The 18,247-nt window shown below is 51.8% G+C and overlaps 2 protein-coding genes across 5 annotated transcripts in view, besides 1 other annotated feature; both read right to left on the bottom strand.

The window, feature by feature from the left end:
- RANBP2 (RAN binding protein 2) overlaps window positions 1-18,247 on the bottom strand; it is a 1,122,820-nt gene that overhangs the window by 403,442 nt on the left and 701,131 nt on the right. The window lies entirely within an intron of this gene.
- Window positions 1-18,247, bottom strand: part of SH3RF3 (SH3 domain containing ring finger 3) — a 375,430-nt gene that overhangs the window by 65,775 nt on the left and 291,408 nt on the right. For all 4 annotated transcript variants that reach the window (NM_001099289.3, XM_011511109.3, XM_047444144.1 and 1 more), the window contains 2 exons: window positions 6,189-6,359; window positions 1,714-1,967 (listed from right to left, as the gene is read on the bottom strand). In NM_001099289.3, coding sequence (NP_001092759.1) covers window positions 1,714-1,967; window positions 6,189-6,359 — 425 coding nt within the window. The remainder of the gene's footprint in view (window positions 1-1,713; window positions 1,968-6,188; window positions 6,360-18,247) is intronic.
- Window positions 8,475-9,038: an enhancer, noted in NCBI's record as "H3K4me1 hESC enhancer chr2:110046278-110046841 (GRCh37/hg19 assembly coordinates)". NCBI's record gives its function as "activates a minimal SCP1, AML or CMV promoter by ChIP-STARR-seq in primed H9 embryonic stem cells {active_cell/tissue: H9 hESC(primed)}" and the evidence as "EXISTENCE:reporter gene assay evidence [ECO:0000049][PMID:30033119]".

Raw genomic sequence — 18,247 nt, 5'->3', positions numbered from 1 at the left:
CTCCCCTGGTCCTGCCTGGGTGCTCCAGTGGCCAAACAGATCAGCATATTGGCTGCCTCTGACCAGTCAGGGAGCACAACTTCAGATCACCAGATCACTTGCCAACTGCAATGACTGTATCCCCAGCTAGAGGCTACCAGAAAACACAGATCCACGTAAACCATGCTGAAGGACGGCTGATCAGAAGGTCATGGGTTGCAGGGTGGGCTTGGGCACCAGGTAATATTGCTGCAGATTCTTTCCCAGGGCCCTGGAGCCAGGGGTGTGAAAACCAAGAATCATTCTTAGCTGATTTAAGTAAAAAAGATACTAGTAGAGACTTACAGAATCTGAGATGGCAGAGTAGGTCTTGAAGGCTCTGACACCAGGGTAGTCCTCAGACCACCCATGAAGCTTTCCTAGTGCTAAATTACCCACTGCTTGACAGGTACACCACCAGCACAAGGCTGAACACTGGGCACCTGAAGTCCACCTGCACCCACTGATGGTGCCAGACATTGGGCACCCAAAGTTCACCCTATACCTGCTGATGGTGCCAGACACCAGGCACTCAAAGTCCACCTGCACCCAGTGACGATGCTGGGCACTGGATACCTGAAGTCTACCCTGCACCCACTTGGGTGGGCAAGTGGATGACAGACACTTACCTCCCACCCCTTGTCCCATCAGCTAAGATAAGGAAGGAAATATGGCCTCTGCTGACCTAAGTGTTGTCTCCTCTTTCCACACTTGAGAAGCTGCTTTCTGGACACTTCTAATGGGTCATCGTGTTCGTTAGTCTAAGAAATAGTATATTTTATTGCTTCCATGAATTTACATTATTTTTGCCCTTTAAGCCTCACTTTGAGAAAAACAGATGATTTCTGAGAGGACAGGGTTGGGGTGGGAAGAGAGATTCTGTGTTATCCCCTCTTGTCCTGGGGTACTTGGCATCATGTCAGCATCACTGGCTCCACCGTGGTGGAAGACGCCGTGGCATGGGCTCCCAGATCATCCTGCGAATCCAGCATCAGCAGTTCTTATTAGCTCAACACTAAGCCACCAACCAAGATGTGCTTACCTTCTTTATGCCTTTAAGGCCCACCCCATAATTTCTTTTCATCTCACAACATCCTGGGGCCAAACCGGTTTTCCTTAAGTTTCTCCAGCTGCCATGAAGGCGAAGGATCAACAGCTGTCATTCCTCCTGCCTCAGAGCACTTCAGAAAGGGAAGAGCCTGGGCCCGAGTCTCACCCCAGCCCTGTCCTGTGAGATGCCGCCTAGCTGGGAAGCCCTGCAGGGCCCGGCAGATGGAAGACCCACGTGGCCGGCCCACAATCATTCATGGGGGAGGCATTTGAAAGTGCCGGTGTTAATCTTATTAGTCTATGAGGCCCTCTTGCCACAATGAAATGTGTAAATATTTGTAAATTTACTTCAGCTGCCAGGATGGGTAACATGATAAGGCAAGTGAACTTCCTGGAGATCAGACGTTCACGAGCATGACAAGATGTGCTTACCTTCTTTATGCCTTTAAGGCCCACCCCATAATTTCTTTTCATCTCACAACATTCTGGGGCCAAACCGGTTTTCCTTAAGTTTCTCCAGCTGCCATGAAGCTGCCACCAGCCACACATGCACTGCTGGAGCCTTGGGCCAAGATGTGTCTCACAAGCATGTCCCAGGAAGCCCCCTTGTTGATGCCCTGCAGGGTGAGGCCCCTGTGAAGGTACCTGTTGAAATGGTGCTCCGGGCTTGGCTGGCCGTTGGCTGGGCTGAGTGCCGTAGACAGCTGCCTGTTGGGGGCGAGGCTGTGGGGTGCTGGGCGTGGGCCTGGGGAGTGGTGATGGGCAGGGCGGGCCTGGTGGCAGTGGCCAGGCTGCTCAGACTCCCACTGCCTGGGTGCATGGTTGTGGTTATCCCTTTGGCCAGTGGAGACCCTCCGACTACATTATTCCGGGGCGGCCCTGCCCCTCCTGCAGGCACCCTGTGGAGAGAAAGCAGAAGGAATTCTGATGAGAGGCTCAGAGGCATTCGTGCCATGTGGGCCTCTGGCAGAGCCTCGCTCTGACCTGCTGGCTTTAAGAGATGAAGGCCAACTGATCTGGGGACGAGGTCCTAAAACAATGCCCGTCACTGGGCAGAAGGGCCCTGTTTACAAAACCTTCATGGGGTGCAAACTGTCAGTGTGAAATATTTAAGAGATAGCAAAGCCGCCCTGAGAAACAGAGGAATGAGCTGAACGAAATCTTTTATACCACAGCTACTGCCTTAATTTGTTCTTACAAACAGCTGTGTGTCTCCAGATACATCCAGAAAGAACAGATGACTCAGTCATGTCCCGCGAGGCCTTGACACATCCAGCACATTGGGGAAAGGATGGCAAGGACGCGGGCCCCCTCTGGGCACGACTGCCACCTCGCATCTGCTGGCTGCTGGGAAAGGGCACACACAGCACGACATCCTTCTGAGAATGTCTGGGAGCTTGCAGTTCCATACCAGAAATAGATGCCCTTTCACTCCGAAGTTTCCAGATGACATCAGCTCACACAAGAGGAACACTCTGGAAATGGGGCTTTTCACGCTTTCCCTCTGTGTATTTGCAATTAATCCATGTCCTGGAGGCAGCGATGTGAAATATGGCAGAGTTAGGGGTTTGGAAGCTTCTGTGGATTCAGTTTCAGGGGAATTAAATGTCTTCCATTTGTCCAAGAGCTGGGTAAATTCCTGTTTCTGTCCCTTCAGGATCTTATTTCAAGACACACCAAGAAGCCACAGGTGGGAGAACAGGCTGCCTGCCCCGTCTCCTGTGCCTGGTCCAGCCATCTCCCTGTGGCTGGTATCACTGGGCACGACCTCTAGCAGGGAAGCTCCCGGCAACACAGAGTGAGGGTTTCTGCACAGCAGCTGAGAGGAGAGGGGCCTCTTGGAAAAGGACTCACCTGCTAGGGGACCCTGGGTGGTGTCCTCCTTCCCCAGCCCTCAGAGCTGTGCTGAACTTCACCCAGCAATCAAGCTTGTTAGCAGGTCAGCCAAAACCATGAATTTAAAAATCCCATTTTCTATCATCTGTTGAGCTCACTTTTCCCCGAGGAAATCATTTTTAAAAACTAAATAAAGTGGGCTCACAAATGATGAGTCACTAATTTGCAAGGTGATATTGACAAGTCTGAACACAACAGATACAGACACACATCTGCCTCTCATGACAGCAGAAAACCCTTTCCCTCTGCCCTCATGGCAGGATGGCAGAGATACCCTTGGCTAGTCCTACTTCCTTAGTGCGTGCCCTCACGGGAAGAGCCACATACCTGCTCCCACACCAGGTTTTTAAATGGACTCACAATGCTCAGCTCTGAGCACTATACTCCCAGCCCCGAGAGCCCACCAGCACTTCAGGGCCTCCTAGCACGATGGGGGCAAACACAGGTGGTGGATCCAGGTCTATGCAGGAAGGAGTAGGCCTTCGCCTACCCTCCAATCACTGCCAGATAAGCCTTCTGCTGTGTGGCTTTGGCAATTGTCCTGAACCCAGTAGGGATCAAGAAAGTATAAGTCCTGGGGGCACAGCTTTGGAGGGGGACAGGTGTCTTCCACTTCTGGGGATAAAGACCGAGGCCAGATTTCCTGTTTTGTGCTGAGCTATGGATTGGACTGAGGGACCCATGGCCTTCAACATACTGACCTGGGGGCAGCCGACCCGGGCGCAGTTCCTTCTCTAAGGAACCGGAGAGGACACTCAATGACCTCCTGACACTGCAGTTACCGGGGCTAGATTTGGAGTGGCTTTTCCTTAATGTTTATTCCTGGCTCTGCCATTCTTTGGAAAACACAGACCAAGAGGGCTTGAGGAGAGTGAGCAACCATGAGGTGCACAGCAGAGGTAGAGGGAGGGGACCGGGCCACTCTAAGTGCTCCAGTGTCAGGAGCTGGAGGATCTTCCCATAACAAACTCCCTGGCAGCAGGAGAAGACAGTTCTTGAGGAGACATTTTGATCAGAACAACTAGATTTCTTTTATTGATTCGATCTGCATTTATTGAGCACCTCGTATATGAACATGGTATGCAAGGAGCCAGGTAAACAAGGCTGGAGATGGCTATTGCGGCCCAGGGACTGGCCTGTGAGGGGGGATCCTGAATGCCTGTAGAACTTGCCAGTGGGCTGCTTGGGATGACACCGTGGGCAGAGCTGTCCATCCCGACTACAGCACAGGCAAGGATGAGGGCCTCCAGGCAAGGCTTCATATAGCAAGTGGACTTAGGACCCAGCTCTTGAAGGATATTCAGGGATTTAACTCAGAAGCAGGAAGAGGGTGGAAGGCAGTCCAGTGTTGTGGGGGTGGGAGGCGCCTAAGAGAGCTCCCTGTGGTGACACTGACTGACACACGTCAGGAGTTGCCCGGCCAGGCGATGTCCCAATGCTACGCAAGGAAGCTGGATTTCAACCGCAGGCTTTACATCTCTGAAGGTCTGCGGAAGTTCTCAGGTAAAGATAAAGGAAGAATCAGAGGAGAGAAACTGGAAACTGGGAAGCCGATGGCCTCCCTCAGAAGCTGCTGCTCTAACCTGCTGCATGGAGGAAGAACCTGCCTCCTCATATAACAGTAGGGCGTGTGACAGAGTGATGTCCCCCAGCAGGGCGGGCGAGCCCAGAGGTGTGGACACCCGCCATCTCAGGCTGCGCCTTCCTGGAGGGTGCCAGCTGGTCAGGGAGTCCCCTAACCTAGAGGGGTGACCTGTGCTTTCCTGGAAGAGCCATCTGATGACACGACAGGTGAGCCCAACTCCAGGCCAGGGGCTTCAAGCACAGGCCGGTTGCAGGCTGAGAGAGCCAACCTGTTCCTACTGGCATGGGAAATCCAGACCAGAGACCTTCTTCGGGGCTGCGCACACTGGGCAAGTCACCCCACACCACTGAAGAAGCCGCAGGAGGCTGTGGGCAGCTCACCCTCTAAGTAGCCACCCCTCTGACCAGGTGGCTGGGTTTGAGGGGGTGCATTTCCTGAAGCCCCTCTGCAGTTTGCTTCTCAAGCTTTTCCCTGCTGAGCATCACCTGAGCGAAGGATCTCTAACTGCCCCTTCAGCCTTGTGCCTGCAGACCTTTCAGGCTTTGGGCAACTCCATCATCCCTTAGCCCCCGCTTCTGGGCACCTCGAGAGAGGCCCTGGCTGAAGATTGCCTTGCGAACTAGAGCTGCTCAAGTCAACACCGCATGTGTCCCGAGACCACTCTGCAAGTAGCAATCAGCCCAGCAATCAATGCAGGGTCTACAGGTTATTTATTTCCACTGTAGCCTTGTTCCAAAGACAGGAGAAACCCAAGGCCACGTCTTTCGCTTCTGTGTGTGTGTCCTGCAGTGTCAACACAGGGCCGTGCCCACGAGGGGCTTCTGTGAGTGAGGCTGACTGATATCACCAAGCTGTGGATCCTCATCTCAGCGAAAAATTCCCAGACAACCCCCTTGTCTCTTCAGTGACTCTAAAATTACATATTCTATTTGATAAAAGTAGTAGAACTGAGAACTTATTAAACACTGACAACACAAAGAAAAAAATATATTACCACAATGCGACCACTCAACAATCGTTGACCTTTGGGAAGATATCATTTTTCCTTTGCATATATGTATATAGTGTTTTACATATCACACGTCTATATATGATGACACACACTGCACACACATGCATACACACTGCATACACACATGCTGTACCTACATTATGCACACACGCACACACCTTGTGCTTACAGTATGCATACGCACGTGCACAGGCACGCACACTGCACATACTCTGCACACATGCACAAATACCATGCACACAAGCACACAGAAGCGTGCACACACTGCACACGCATAGCATACACGCTGAACACACTGTATATATGTGCACACACTGTCCTCACACAAACACACATTCACACTTGAGACCTCATTCTGGTGACTTTCCTGTCCCTGCTCCTCCTGATCCCATTCTTCTCCCCTTGGTGGCCAATGTCTGCTGAGGACAGCCAAGGAGTTGAGTGCAAACCCAGCTCAGAAGGTGAAATGTGGGCCTGGGGACGCCAGTGGGGGCTGAACCCTGGGCACTGGTGGCCTTGCTGCCTTCTGGGCCCGGCTGACAGAGTAGCCTCCAGCAGTAACAACAGCGGTAAGGCGTGCAGGCCCTTGCCCTCTCCTTGCCCAGGCTGCCACCACCATGCCCTCACCTGGAAACGGGTGTCACGTAGTTTCCGGGGAACACCCCAGAGACCCCGGTCCTCAGAGACGCCCCCTTGAACCAGCCATCCTGACACTTCTCGAGGACCCGGTACATCTCTCCCTTGTGCAGCTCCAGCTCGTCACTCTTCTGGGGCTTGTAGGCGTAGAGCGCCAGGTACCTGCGGGCAAAGCATGGGGCCAGTGTCAGTGGGAGCCCTCCTGGGGATAGGGGACCGGCCGGCATTCCTGGGGGGAGGTTGTCTTTGGAGGAACCCAACCTAAAAAGACCCACTAGAGTCTATGGGGGCTCTGCAGTTTACAGAGGCCTCACACACCCTCCCCAGCTCACTCCTCATAACAAACCCACGAGGCAGGGAGCCTTCGGGGAGCTGCCTGCAGGGGAGGGGTGTGCCTGTCACCCACAGCCTTAGGAGGATTCCACCTGCCCATCTGACAGATAGGAAGGCAGCTCCCTAAGGCCCAGTGACCCCAAAGCCCTCAAGGACTCTCTGAACTGCATCCCAGGGCCAGCTCTTTGGATTTCCAGTGTTTTCCTCTTCTAAAGTCTGATGCTCTGAGCAAGGGAAACCTTAGGGAAAACTGAGGGTGAGCTAAGCTATTCTTGGGCTGGGTTTTCCTCACTTAATATAACCTGGCCTGGTTTTCCTGCCTGGCTTATCCAATCAACCAGAGGTGGAAGAGACCTCAGAGGCCCTTTTTAAGGGAAAGGTGGTTAAGTTAGAAAACTGTGGTTGCACACTTCCTTGCAGTAATTGTGCTATGGTTAATTACTTGACCTTTTTTTTTTTGAAACAGCATCTCACCCTGTCACCCAGGCTGGAGTGCAGTGGTACAAGCATAGCTCACTGCAGCCTCAATGGCCTGGGCTCAAGTGATCCTCCCACCTCAGCCTCCTAAGCAGCTGGGACCACAGGTGTGCACCGCCATGCTGGCTAAGTTTTTTATTTTTTGTAAAGATGGGGTCCCACTATGTTGCCCAGACTGGTCTTGAGCTCCTAGTCTCAAGCAATCCTCCCATTTCAGCCTCCCAAAGTGCTGGGATTACACCAGCCTTAATTTTAAGTCTTATTTGCAAATAAGGAAAGAGCAAATTTAGTGGTGAAAATCCCAGCTTAGGGTTTAGATGCTGTGCCTCTAACTCAGCCCATGGGCCAAGCTACTCTCATAAAATACTTAACTATACCTATATCTTTTCCTTGTAAAGATTGGATAATACTTACAAAAGTGCTCTGCTACTTTTGGGATTTGGGGAAGGTTGGTTTTGAACGGAGGGAGAGAACATACCAGATTATTTTATTTGCTCACAAGATTCAGCCACGGAAGCTGGTGGAGGCCTCAGTTCACTAAGAGACCAAAGATGAATGTTAATGAAGAGTGATCTGGTGGACCTCACACCAGTGCAGGCTGCTGGGTGGGGATGCTGACCCTATCCAGCGGCTTGTGCACACAGTGCATCTCTGGGGATATGAGGGAAGCTCATAGACCCCACCATTGCACCCTCCTGATGCTGGAGGAACCCCACTTAGAAGTGAAAACAGAAACAGAATGCAGCTCACGAGGGCTCAAGCAGGAAAAAAGAACCAGTGTGGAATATTCTGGAATAGCAGGAGAACCTTGTAGAGATTAAAAGTTTCTTGGCCTTAATATGAAATCTGCCCCCCTTTTCGAACATCCTAATCCTACATAGCAAGGCCCTCTGCCCTCATTCAATGACCTTGGCTATTTCCTTTGTTGATAGGTGTCCCTCATGCCCTCCTCCTAGGGACATGCTGTGGGCTCCAACTGTGGCTGGCATCTTTGTTTCTTTCCCTGTTTGAAATGGTGAACACTGACAGTGAAATTAGGACCAACTCTGGGCTTCAGGAGGATACACAAAATCATCAGGAGAGGACCCCGCCACCCCACCACGTTCACAGTTTCAATGCTATGTCTAGGTGACAAATGGAGAGAAACCAGGGTGTGATTCTGTTCCCATCACCATAGAGGAAATACCACTAAGGGAAAAGTCCAGTGAAAATGACAAACAACTGCAGCCAACACGTACCTGTGTATTGTGCAGGGAAGCTGGAGGGGAGGAGAGGAGAACGGGGAGAGGTGAAAGAAAGGGGATGAGAGAGATGGAGGGAGGAGGAGGGAGGAGGAGGAGATGGGGAGAGGATGGGAGAGGACGGGGAGAGGACAGAGGAAGAAAGAGAAGGGGAGAGGAGAGGAGGGTGGCTTCCACACAGCCTGGGCTGAGGCAAAGGAAGGCAGAAGAGGAGAGGAAGAGTGCAGGGAGGACTTGGATCCGTGGAAGGCTTGTGAATCAGTAACAATGACGCACAAATTGATGTGCCTGCTCTCAGAGAAATACAATTGAGTGTAAATCCTGCTTAAGTTAGCCTCATCTGTTGCTTTATGGTGTCAAAACAGTTTGCTTCAGTGGCCACATGCAGAATGCGCAGCCGGGTTGGCTCCTGGCCATGGGCAACAGTATGCAACTCAGGCCGCACCAACAGCTCCTTTTAGTTGGTTCTGGGGTCCGGGGCTGCCTTTCCTCTGGAGTGGGGGGCTCATCAGCTGCCAAGGCAGGCTCAGAACACGCCCTAGCTGCTGACCACAGCTCACGGACTCCTCTCCCTCCTGCTCCTGGGCTGGTAGGCAAGGTGCAGAGCTAGGGGCTCAGTGGCCTGTGTGGGGTGGGCTGTGCTCTGTGGAGGCCTTGTTCCGTGGATTGGCTGCGGCTACACCCGCTGACTGGGGCTGGGCCACTTCTCCCTCCAGGCTACTGCAGGCTCCCTGCACAGCGTGGAGCTTGGTGGCCTGGGAGCATGGAACCCCTAGCAGGGCTACCTCTGCTCGGGTGGCCCTGTGCAACGTGCTTCCTCCCCAGGGCTGTCTGTGGCCTTCTTGCACATGTTTCACAGCTGCGGACACAAAAGCTCGAGGGGATGGAGCTTCTGTCCATGGTCACGCATGTTCAGGGGTAGGGCCAGGGCTGGGCTGCTGGAGCTGTCAGCGCGGCCTGGGGCACAGCTGGGGCAGGGCTTGGGCAAGATGAGAGCTGCAGTTGCACAGAGGTGTGGCCCGGGGAGGCTGGGGTCCTGAATGGGGTATGTTGGCTCCTCACTCCAAGCACAGGCCCGGTGTGGCCAACGCGTAGGGAGATGCTGCCCTGACGTGCACCAGGGCACTAGTGCACTTGGCCTCTTCATCTTAAATTTTAAGTTCGTTCTGTTGATGAGTAATCCTTCACTCTGATCTCTATTTTAAGTTCGGCCTCTAGGTGTAGGTTGCTGGGGGAACTGGAATGTAAATAAGCCTAGCTTCACTTTGAAAAATCTCTTCTCTGCCTACTTTTTTTCCTCTGGGTGCCTCGTAGGGGACACCAAAAGCAGATGGATGTGCTGGGTCTGTTTTCTGGCATGCGGCTCGTGTTGGGTGGGCCTTGGCCCGGGTGGGGGTCAACTGCATCTGCTGTCCTCTCTGAGGTACTCAAGAGGAGGCCTTGGAGGGACCACACTGAAGAGCAATTTGTGCCGAGACCGGCCCTTCCCAACCTGCCTCCCTCCCACCTCTCAGGGTCTCTGCCGCTGCCCCCTGCAGCCACAGTGGCATCGCCTGTTACCCTGTTTCTCACCAACGTCTGTGAGTTGAGTCCTGTCAGGACTGCCAGTTCAGAGTCTCCTGGCTGAGCTGGATGGCGTCCCCTGCACTCAGTGGCGAGCCAGTCTTCGTAGACACATGCACCTGGGTCTGGCATGGCAGGGAGAACCGGGCAGCACCTGCAGGTAGCAGGGCTCACAACCTCCTGGCTCCTGAGCCCAACTCTCACCTTCCATTTGCTTGAAAACACCTTGGCAGCTCAACACAGGCCCTGCGGAGTGCTCAGGGCATCTCCATAACACTCGAGACCAGCCAAGGCCACCCTGCATGCTCAGACATCACCTCTGCGGATTCTCACAGGTTGGTACTTCAAATACTTATTTAAGGCAATCATGGGATTTTAGGATCAGAGAGCCTTCCTCACCACCACCTGGTAGCGTGTATAGGGCTTTCATGCCAATGAGAAAAAGCGCCTCTTGAGGGCAGGTTGCTGAGGACAAGTACAGCCTCCTCCAGGCAGAAGTGGCCGCGGCAGGTGTGCAGTCAGGCATGGGGCCAGGGGCTCACCACACCCGGGACGGTGCACAGACAAGATAGGCTGGCGGCTGGGCCGACTCGGCTGACCCAGCTGGGCATGGCATGTGTCTGCTTTCACGTGCAGCCTGTTGAAACTAACAGCACAGCCTTCGCTTACCCATACTACTTCCTTATTTCTATAGCAAGATCTTTACTTGCTGCTAATTGTCTGCAGATTTCTCTTCCGCTCTAATCAGAGTAAACCAAAGTATTTTAGTGCCTTCGCTAATTTCATCCCCTTTCTCCTCTAGATGGTGGCTTGCTCATACGTCTTCTAAAATAAGTAAATGATTCCCAGTTCTCCTACCAGAAGTCCCACTTCTACTTTTCTCCCAGGGCCACGCTGGCTCGAATTAGGGAGGCGTGTGCTTCCTCCTCACCTCTTCCATCTAGGTGCAGCACCCACTCTGCAGGGAAGACCCACAGCAGGAGTGCTGTCAGGGGCTGCACTGGAGGCCAGGGGGCTGGGGAGGGCTGGGTAAGTCCTGTGGAAGGGCTGAAGCAGGCTCAGGAGCTCAGAGGCGACCAGGAGCTGCAGGCAGGGCGAGGATGAGTGCAGATGCTCAGAGGAGCGTGCGCGAGCACCTGGGGAGCTGCAGGTATGGCCTCAGGATGGCCAGCTCCGGGAGCACTGCTGCCTTCGCCTCTTCCCTGAGGGCTGACATCATGGTCTGGCTCAGCCCAGCCAGCAGAAACTGCTCGGTTCTCCCTGGGGCCTTCTGATTTCCTGGGATCCCACAGGCAGTTACGCGGGTTGAGATGGGGTTCTCCCAGGTAGAACCAAGTGTCACAGAGTTCATGGAAGGAAGGAGCTGGGGTGGCACGGCTGTGAGGCCAGCTTAGGAGCTGATGTCTTTCCCAACTGAGCACCTTTGACACTTGTGTGTGGGGCTAGTGTGCAGGGACTCCCGAAGTGTGAACCTGGGCCAGTGGTACTGGCCTCACCTGGAACTTGTTAGAGATTCTGGGGCCTCACCCTGGAGCTCCTGGTGTAAGGCCCAGCAATCTGTGTTTCAACAGCCCTCCAGGTACAGGCATACCTGTGGGATACTCGTGGGTTTGGTTCCAGACTGCCCCAATAGAGCAAATATTGCAATAAACTGTCACCCGAATTTTTGGTTTACCAATATATGTAAAAATTATATTTATACTATACAGTAGCGTATTAAGTATGCGATAGCATTATGTCTAAAAAAATGTAAGTACCTTAATTAAGAAATATTTTCTTTGTCCAGGCACGGTGACTCACGCCTGTAATCCCAGCACTTTGGTAGCCTGAGGCAGGTGGATCACCTGAGGTCAGGAGTTTGAGACCAGCTGGGACAAAATGGTGAAACCCCGTCTCTACTAAAAAGACGAAAATTAGCCCAGTGTGGTGGCAGGCACCTGCAACCCCAGCTACTAGGGAGGCTAGGGCCAGAGAATCGCTTGAACCCAGGAGGCGAAGGTTCCAGTGAGCTGAGATCATGCCACTGCACTCCAGCCTAGGTGACAGAGCGAGACTCGTCTCAAAAAAAAATATATATATATATATTTTATTGCCCTAAAATGTTAATGATCATCTGAGCCTTCAGGGAGTTATAATTTATTTGCTGGTAGAGGGTCTTGTCTTGATGTGAATAGTTGCTGACTACTCAGGGTGGTGGTGGCTAAAGGTGGGGGTGGCTGTGGCAACTTCTTAAAATAAGACAGCAATGAGGTTTGCTACATTGACTCTTTCTTTCATGATAGATTTCTCTATAGCATTTGATGCTGTTTGACAGCATTTTACCCACAGTAGAATTTCTTTCAAAATTGGAGGCAATCCTCTTAAACCCTGCTGCTGCTTCATCAACTGTTTATGTGCTATTCTAAACTCTTTGTTGTCATTTCAATGATGTTCCCACCATCTTCACCAGGAGGAGATTTTTATCTCAAGAAACTACTTTCTTGCCCATCTAGAAGGAGCAACTCCTCATCTGTTCAAGTTTTCTCATAAGATTGCAGCAATTCAGTTACATCTTCAGGTTCAATTTCTAATTCTAGTTCTCTTGCTGTTTCTACCACATCTGCGGTGACTTCCTACACTGAAGTCTTGAACCAACCACTCAAAGTCATCCATGAGGATTGGAAGAACCTTCTTCAACACTCCTGTTAATGTTGATATTTTGACCTCCTCCCATGAATCACAAATGTTCATAATGGCCCTAGAATGGTGAATCCTTTCCAAAAGGTTTTCAATTTACTTTGCCCAGATCCATGAGAGGAATCACCATCTATGGCAGCTATAACCTTTGAAATGTACTGCTTGGCCGGGCGCAGTGGCTCACGATTGTAATCCCAGCGCTTTGGGAGGCCAAGGCGGACGGATCACTTGAGGTCAGGAGTTAGACACCAGCCTGGCCAACATGGCGAAAACCTGTCTCTACTAAAAAAATATACAATATACAAAAATTAGCTGGGCGTGGTGGCATGCGCCTGTAATCCCAGCTACCGGGAAGGCTGAGGCAGGAGAATGGCTTGAACCCAGGAGGCGGAGGTTGCAGTGAGCCAAGATCATGCCACTGCACTCCAGCCTGGACGACAGAGTGAAACTCCATCTCAAGAAAAAAAAGAAAGAAAGAAAGAAAGAAAAAGATGTACTTTTAAAATAAGAACACTTGACAATCTAAACTATCCTCGATCCATGAGCTGAAGAATGGATGCTGTGTCAGCAGGCATGAAAACAACATTCATCTCCTTGTACATCTCCATCAGAGCTCTTGAATAACCAAGTACACTGGCAATGAGCAGTAATATTTTAAAAGGAATCTTTTTTTTCTGAGCAGTAGGTCTTGACAATGGACTTACAATATTCAGGAAACCATGCTGTAAACACGTGTGCTATCATGCAGGCGTGGTTGTCCCATTTACACAGCACAGGCAGAGTAGATTTAGCATAATTCTTAAGAGCCCTAGGGTTCTCGGAATGGCAAATGAACACTGGCTTCACTTAGAGTCACCAGCTGCATTAGCCCCTAACAAGAGAGTCTGCCTGTCCTTTAAAGCTTTGAAGCCAGGCCTTGATATCTCCTCTCTAGCTATGAAAGTCCTAGATGGCATCATTGTCCAATATAGGGCTGTTTTGTCTACACTGAAAATCTGTTGTTTAGTGTCGCCACCTTCATCAGTGATTTTAGCTAGATCTTCTGGATAACTTGCTACAGCTTTTCCATCAGCACTTGCTGCTTTACCTTGTACTTTTATGTTGCAGAGATGGCTTCTTTCTTTAAACCTCACGAACCAACCTCTGCTAGCTTCAAACTTTCCTCCTTTAGCTTCCTCACCTCTCTCAGCATTCACGGAGTTGAAGAGAGTTAGGGCCTTGCTTTGGATTAGGCTTTGGCTTAAGGGAATGTTGCAGTTGGTTTGATCTTCTATCCAGGCCACTCAAACATTCTCCGTATCAGCAATTAGGCTGTTTCACTTTCTTATAATTCGTGTGTTCCCTGGAGTAGCACTTTTAATTTCCTTCAATAACTTTTCTTTTCATTGACAACTTAGATAACTGTTTGGCACAAGTTTCAGCCTATCTCAGCTTTTGACATGACTTCCTCGCCAAGCTTAATCATTTCTAACTTTTGACTTAAAGTGAGAGATGTTCGACTCTAGCTTTCACTTGACCACTTAGAGGTCACTTAGCGTTACTAAAAGGCCTGATTTCAGTATTGTTGTGTCTAAGGGAAAAGGTAGGCCTGGGGAGAGAAAGAGAGATGGGGGAAACGGTGGGTCCGTGGAGCCGTCAGAACATACACATCACTTATCGAGTAAGTTCGCTGTCTTATGTGGGCATGGTCCATGGTGCCCAAAACAACTCCATAACAGTAACGCCAAAAATCACTGATCACATCACCATAAAGATATAATGAAAAAGTTTGAAATATTATAAGAATTACCGAAATGTGACACAGAGACTCGAAGTGAGCACATGCTGTTGGAAAATGGCACCACTAGACTTGGTGGATGCTGGGTTGCCCCGAAGCTTCAATTTGTAAAAAAAATGCAGTATCTGTGAGGCACAACAAAGTGAAGTGCGATGAAATGAGGTTTGCCTGTGTTTCTGCTGCATTCTGAGGCTGAAGCCCCACCACTGGACAGGGTCCAGGGATGCCCAGCCTGGGTCCCCTCTGAAGGGCGATGAGTGGCTGATCACTCACTGTGGTGGCTGCACTGGGAATCTCCCTCAGGGTGCAGCATCACCCATGACTGCCCCTTCAAAGGGCAGCCTGAAGCCAGCGCTGGCTCACTTCCAATGGGGAAACTCCGCAGGGCTGTCTCAGCTCCAGAGCCCCGAGGATCAGACAGGCTTCCCTTCAGCCACAGCGCAGGTGTGTCCTGAGAGCACTCCCCACAAACCTCCCCATCTCAGGGCCTGCCTCCAGGAAACCCAGCCTAGACAATGCCGGTACCGGTGGGGATGTGCTGCCACCACCAGGGCCTGCAGCTCCTTCCCTCCACTGCAACCGGCCCTGCAGCGGCCCAGACGTCTCCGACCTTTGCCCGCCAGGGTCTATGTCATCCAGAGACTCTCTCAATAAAATTCTCTGCTCTTCCCACTTGCATCTCCTCCATTTCCCCACCTGCTTGGGGTCCCAGCTGTGCCCTCTCTAGAGGTGCAGGCGGCAGGGGTGGGGATGAAGAGTACTCACCCCTCCACTGGTTCTCAGGCTCACTCTCATATTCTTGGTCGCATCTGTCTGTAATATCCTGAGGACGGTGCCGCCATGCCTGGAAGGGGTGACCATGGGGCCAGGCTGACCACAAGGCTGGGCACTGTCAAAGGAGGCTGGGCGGCTGGCCTCTGAGACACCTCTTGGGGGCAGTACCCGGTGATTTCGCTGATCCAGGCCTTCGTTCCAAGCCTGGCAGGGACTTATTTTACCGAGTCTTATTGTCTTGAACTCACGCTGATCCAGTTCATTGCAGGCTGAGTGCAGCACCAGCCTGTTCTGTGAATTTGGAATGGAAGGTGCCCCTGTCTTGTGTTGGCATGGTTTGGTCAGCAGTCCTTTTCCTGTGTCCCAGAATGTGGGGACTGTTGTTATTGAGGATGGTTTGGTGGCCTTTTGACCACACGCACAAATGGCAGCGGGGTCATGAGGGGGTCACTCCTGATCACAGCAAGGTCTGCGAGGTCATCCCTGCCATGACAGAGAGCACGTCTCACATGACCAGTGTCAACCACCAGATCCAGGGACCCTGGTCTGCACCTCAGCAGGGGAGGATGAAAACCGCTGGCCACGATTCCCCTGGGCTTCCCTTTCCCTGTTGCAGGCCAACCCCCCATCTCCCTAAGTCTTTCTCTGGGCTCCTGGATAGGACTCCCAGGTCCCTCAGGTGCCATCTGGGTGGTCATGCACCTCACAGGGTACCTAGTTTTCCCTGCAGGTAATGAACTGCACCCATCGACTGTGGAAGTTTCCTTCTCTGATGGCAAGCTGACATGCAGTCCCAGACCAAGGCTCTGTGCCAAGAGTTCCGTTGCTCTCAGATTGCAGGTACGTGGACCGAGTCAGACCCAGGCGTGTCGGTCTGATGCCTGTTTCGTCCTCCTCCTCCACCTCCTCCATTGCTGTAGGTGATGACAGGACATCTCGGATGGCTCCTGCAGGGTAGCCCTATGCCCTCTCCCTGCCTCCTCCGGTCCTTCACATCAGGCAGTGGCTCTAAGATGCCCACGAAGAAGTGGAGGTGAGAATCAACCCTTCAAAATCAGGGGCAACCTACTCACAGCATTTCATCAACCTTGAGACCCTCTGGGTGGGTTGGCTGTGCCCAGGAGCATGGCCTCTAGGAGCAGACAATCATATTTCTGCTTTCCCAAATCACAGCAGGTCTGCCAGAGGAATGGCGGACAAGCCCCAGCCCAACACAGCAGGGGGTGGAAAGGGGGTGCAGGAATGAGAGACGTCTCTGCAGACTCACAGTCGCCTCCATGCACTGGGTGAGCAAACTGAGACCCTTCTTGTGTTTCCGGGCAACTGAGCCCTTAGGGAATCCATGCCAGGGAAGCCTTTCACATGCTGGAAGAAGGGGCAAGAACATCCAGCCATCGACACACTGACCGTACAGGATTAGGCCTCTTAATCTCAAGGGCTCATGTTTCAGTGCACATGATGTGGCCTGGAGAGGTCAAAGCTATGCAATCATGAAGATCAGGAATGAGGTCTCCTGAAGTCATTCCATGGCTGACTTTCACATCAGCCCCATCTGGGCCCTGGCTGGAGTCCCCAAGCCATCATTCTCTGCAGACCCGCAATGGGCAGCAGTGCACTGTTGTTTGCTGTGGTTGTTTTTGCAACGACAGCACATCTCATGTTCAATTTCAGACTTCTGAACGTGACTTACAGAGGCTATTTTGGGAAGAATGGTTAGATCAGACCCCCACCCCGGGTACTTGCCACTGGTAGGGTATGTGTGGGAATACTAGCTTCTTAGAGTTAAAGAGGATAGGTGAGCAGTCAGGCTAATCCCCTTCCTCATAAACTGATGAGGTCAGTCTGATCTTTTCCTCTCTGGGGATAAAATAAAGGATGTCATGTTTTCAGAATGCATCATGCATACTGCTGTAACGTATGTAATGTTGCCTGGCATGTGACTGCTACTCAGTATAACAGCCATGAACACACATGGAACGGACCATCACCAGTCACAGGTCATGCTGACCATGATCCAGCTCCTGCATGGAGGGCCACTGTGTCACCTGCAGACACATTCCTACCTAAATCCTTGTCATCCTTAGAAGGATGTTGTCCGACACATAAGTTTCCCTTCCCTCTTACCCAAATCTCAAGCTGAGTGGAAAGTGCCCTCCCCTGGGGGAGAAGCCCAGAGGGAGAAGGTGGAGAGCTAGAGGTCACAGCAACCCTGTCCCCCAGGGCAGGCGAACTGGGTGAAGAAGAGGTCCCTCCACATCTGCACCAAATTTAGAAGCCATCCAGGACATGGAGGTTTGTCCATGGTTGAGGCCTCCAGAATATTCACAACTCTTGAGGGGTGACATGCCTGGAACTGTTACGTTTTGGGTCTCCAGGACAGAGAAGCCTTCTTGGGTGGCTAAGCCTTGAGCTCGCCTCAAGCTGGGGAGCCCTCTGCACCCAGGAAGGGGAGGCCTTTGCTCTCATAGAACAAGTGGCAGCTACTGAGAGCCTGTGTACAGGCATTCAGCTGGTCACGGGGACTCCAAAACAAACACATCTGGGCTTTGCCCTTGAAGCACTCATGGCCTCAGCAACCTGACCTGCATCCTGCCTCTCATTTGGGAAACTCCATCAGGGCTATCCCACTGTGGGTGCAGGTTTCTTTCCTCAGATAGCATCCTGCATCCAATTCTTCAAGAAGAGCAGCCCCATCACCCCCCACTTTTCCATGTGCCTCCTTGGCACCAGCTTTGCCTGAAGCTGCCAGAACTGAGCTAGGAGCATGGCAGGAGATGGAGGTAGTATCTTTTGTCCAGTGCTGGTGAAAACTTGAATATCAGTCTCAAGGCATCTGGAAGTAGCCTGCTCAGGAAGCTAGGTAAAAAATAGGTACATTTCAAATACCTTTCATTACATTGGTTAATTATAGTAGGAGGATATTGGGAGCTTTCCTGCCCACCACTTAAGAAAGGCTGGTGTTTCCACTGGGCTTAGAGGTGGGTGAGTGTGTGCCAGCAGCTGAGCTACTTCTAGACCTTTTGAAGCTTGGCAAGTTGCTCTTCAAAATACTTTTTTGCTTGAAATACATCCTGTTTGGCCGGGCGCGGTGGCTCATGCCTGTAATCCCAGCATTTAGGGAGGCCAAGGCGGGCGGATCACGAGATCAGGAGATCGAGACCATCCTGGCTAACACGGTGAAACCCCATCTCTACTAAAAATACAAAAAT

The sequence above is a fragment of the Homo sapiens genome, chromosome 2 (genome assembly GCF_000001405.40).
Source record: "Homo sapiens chromosome 2, GRCh38.p14 Primary Assembly".
NCBI lineage: Eukaryota > Metazoa > Chordata > Mammalia > Primates > Hominidae > Homo > Homo sapiens.
Note: the sequence above shows the minus strand (reverse complement) of the source record. Positions and strands in the feature narration are given on the sequence as shown.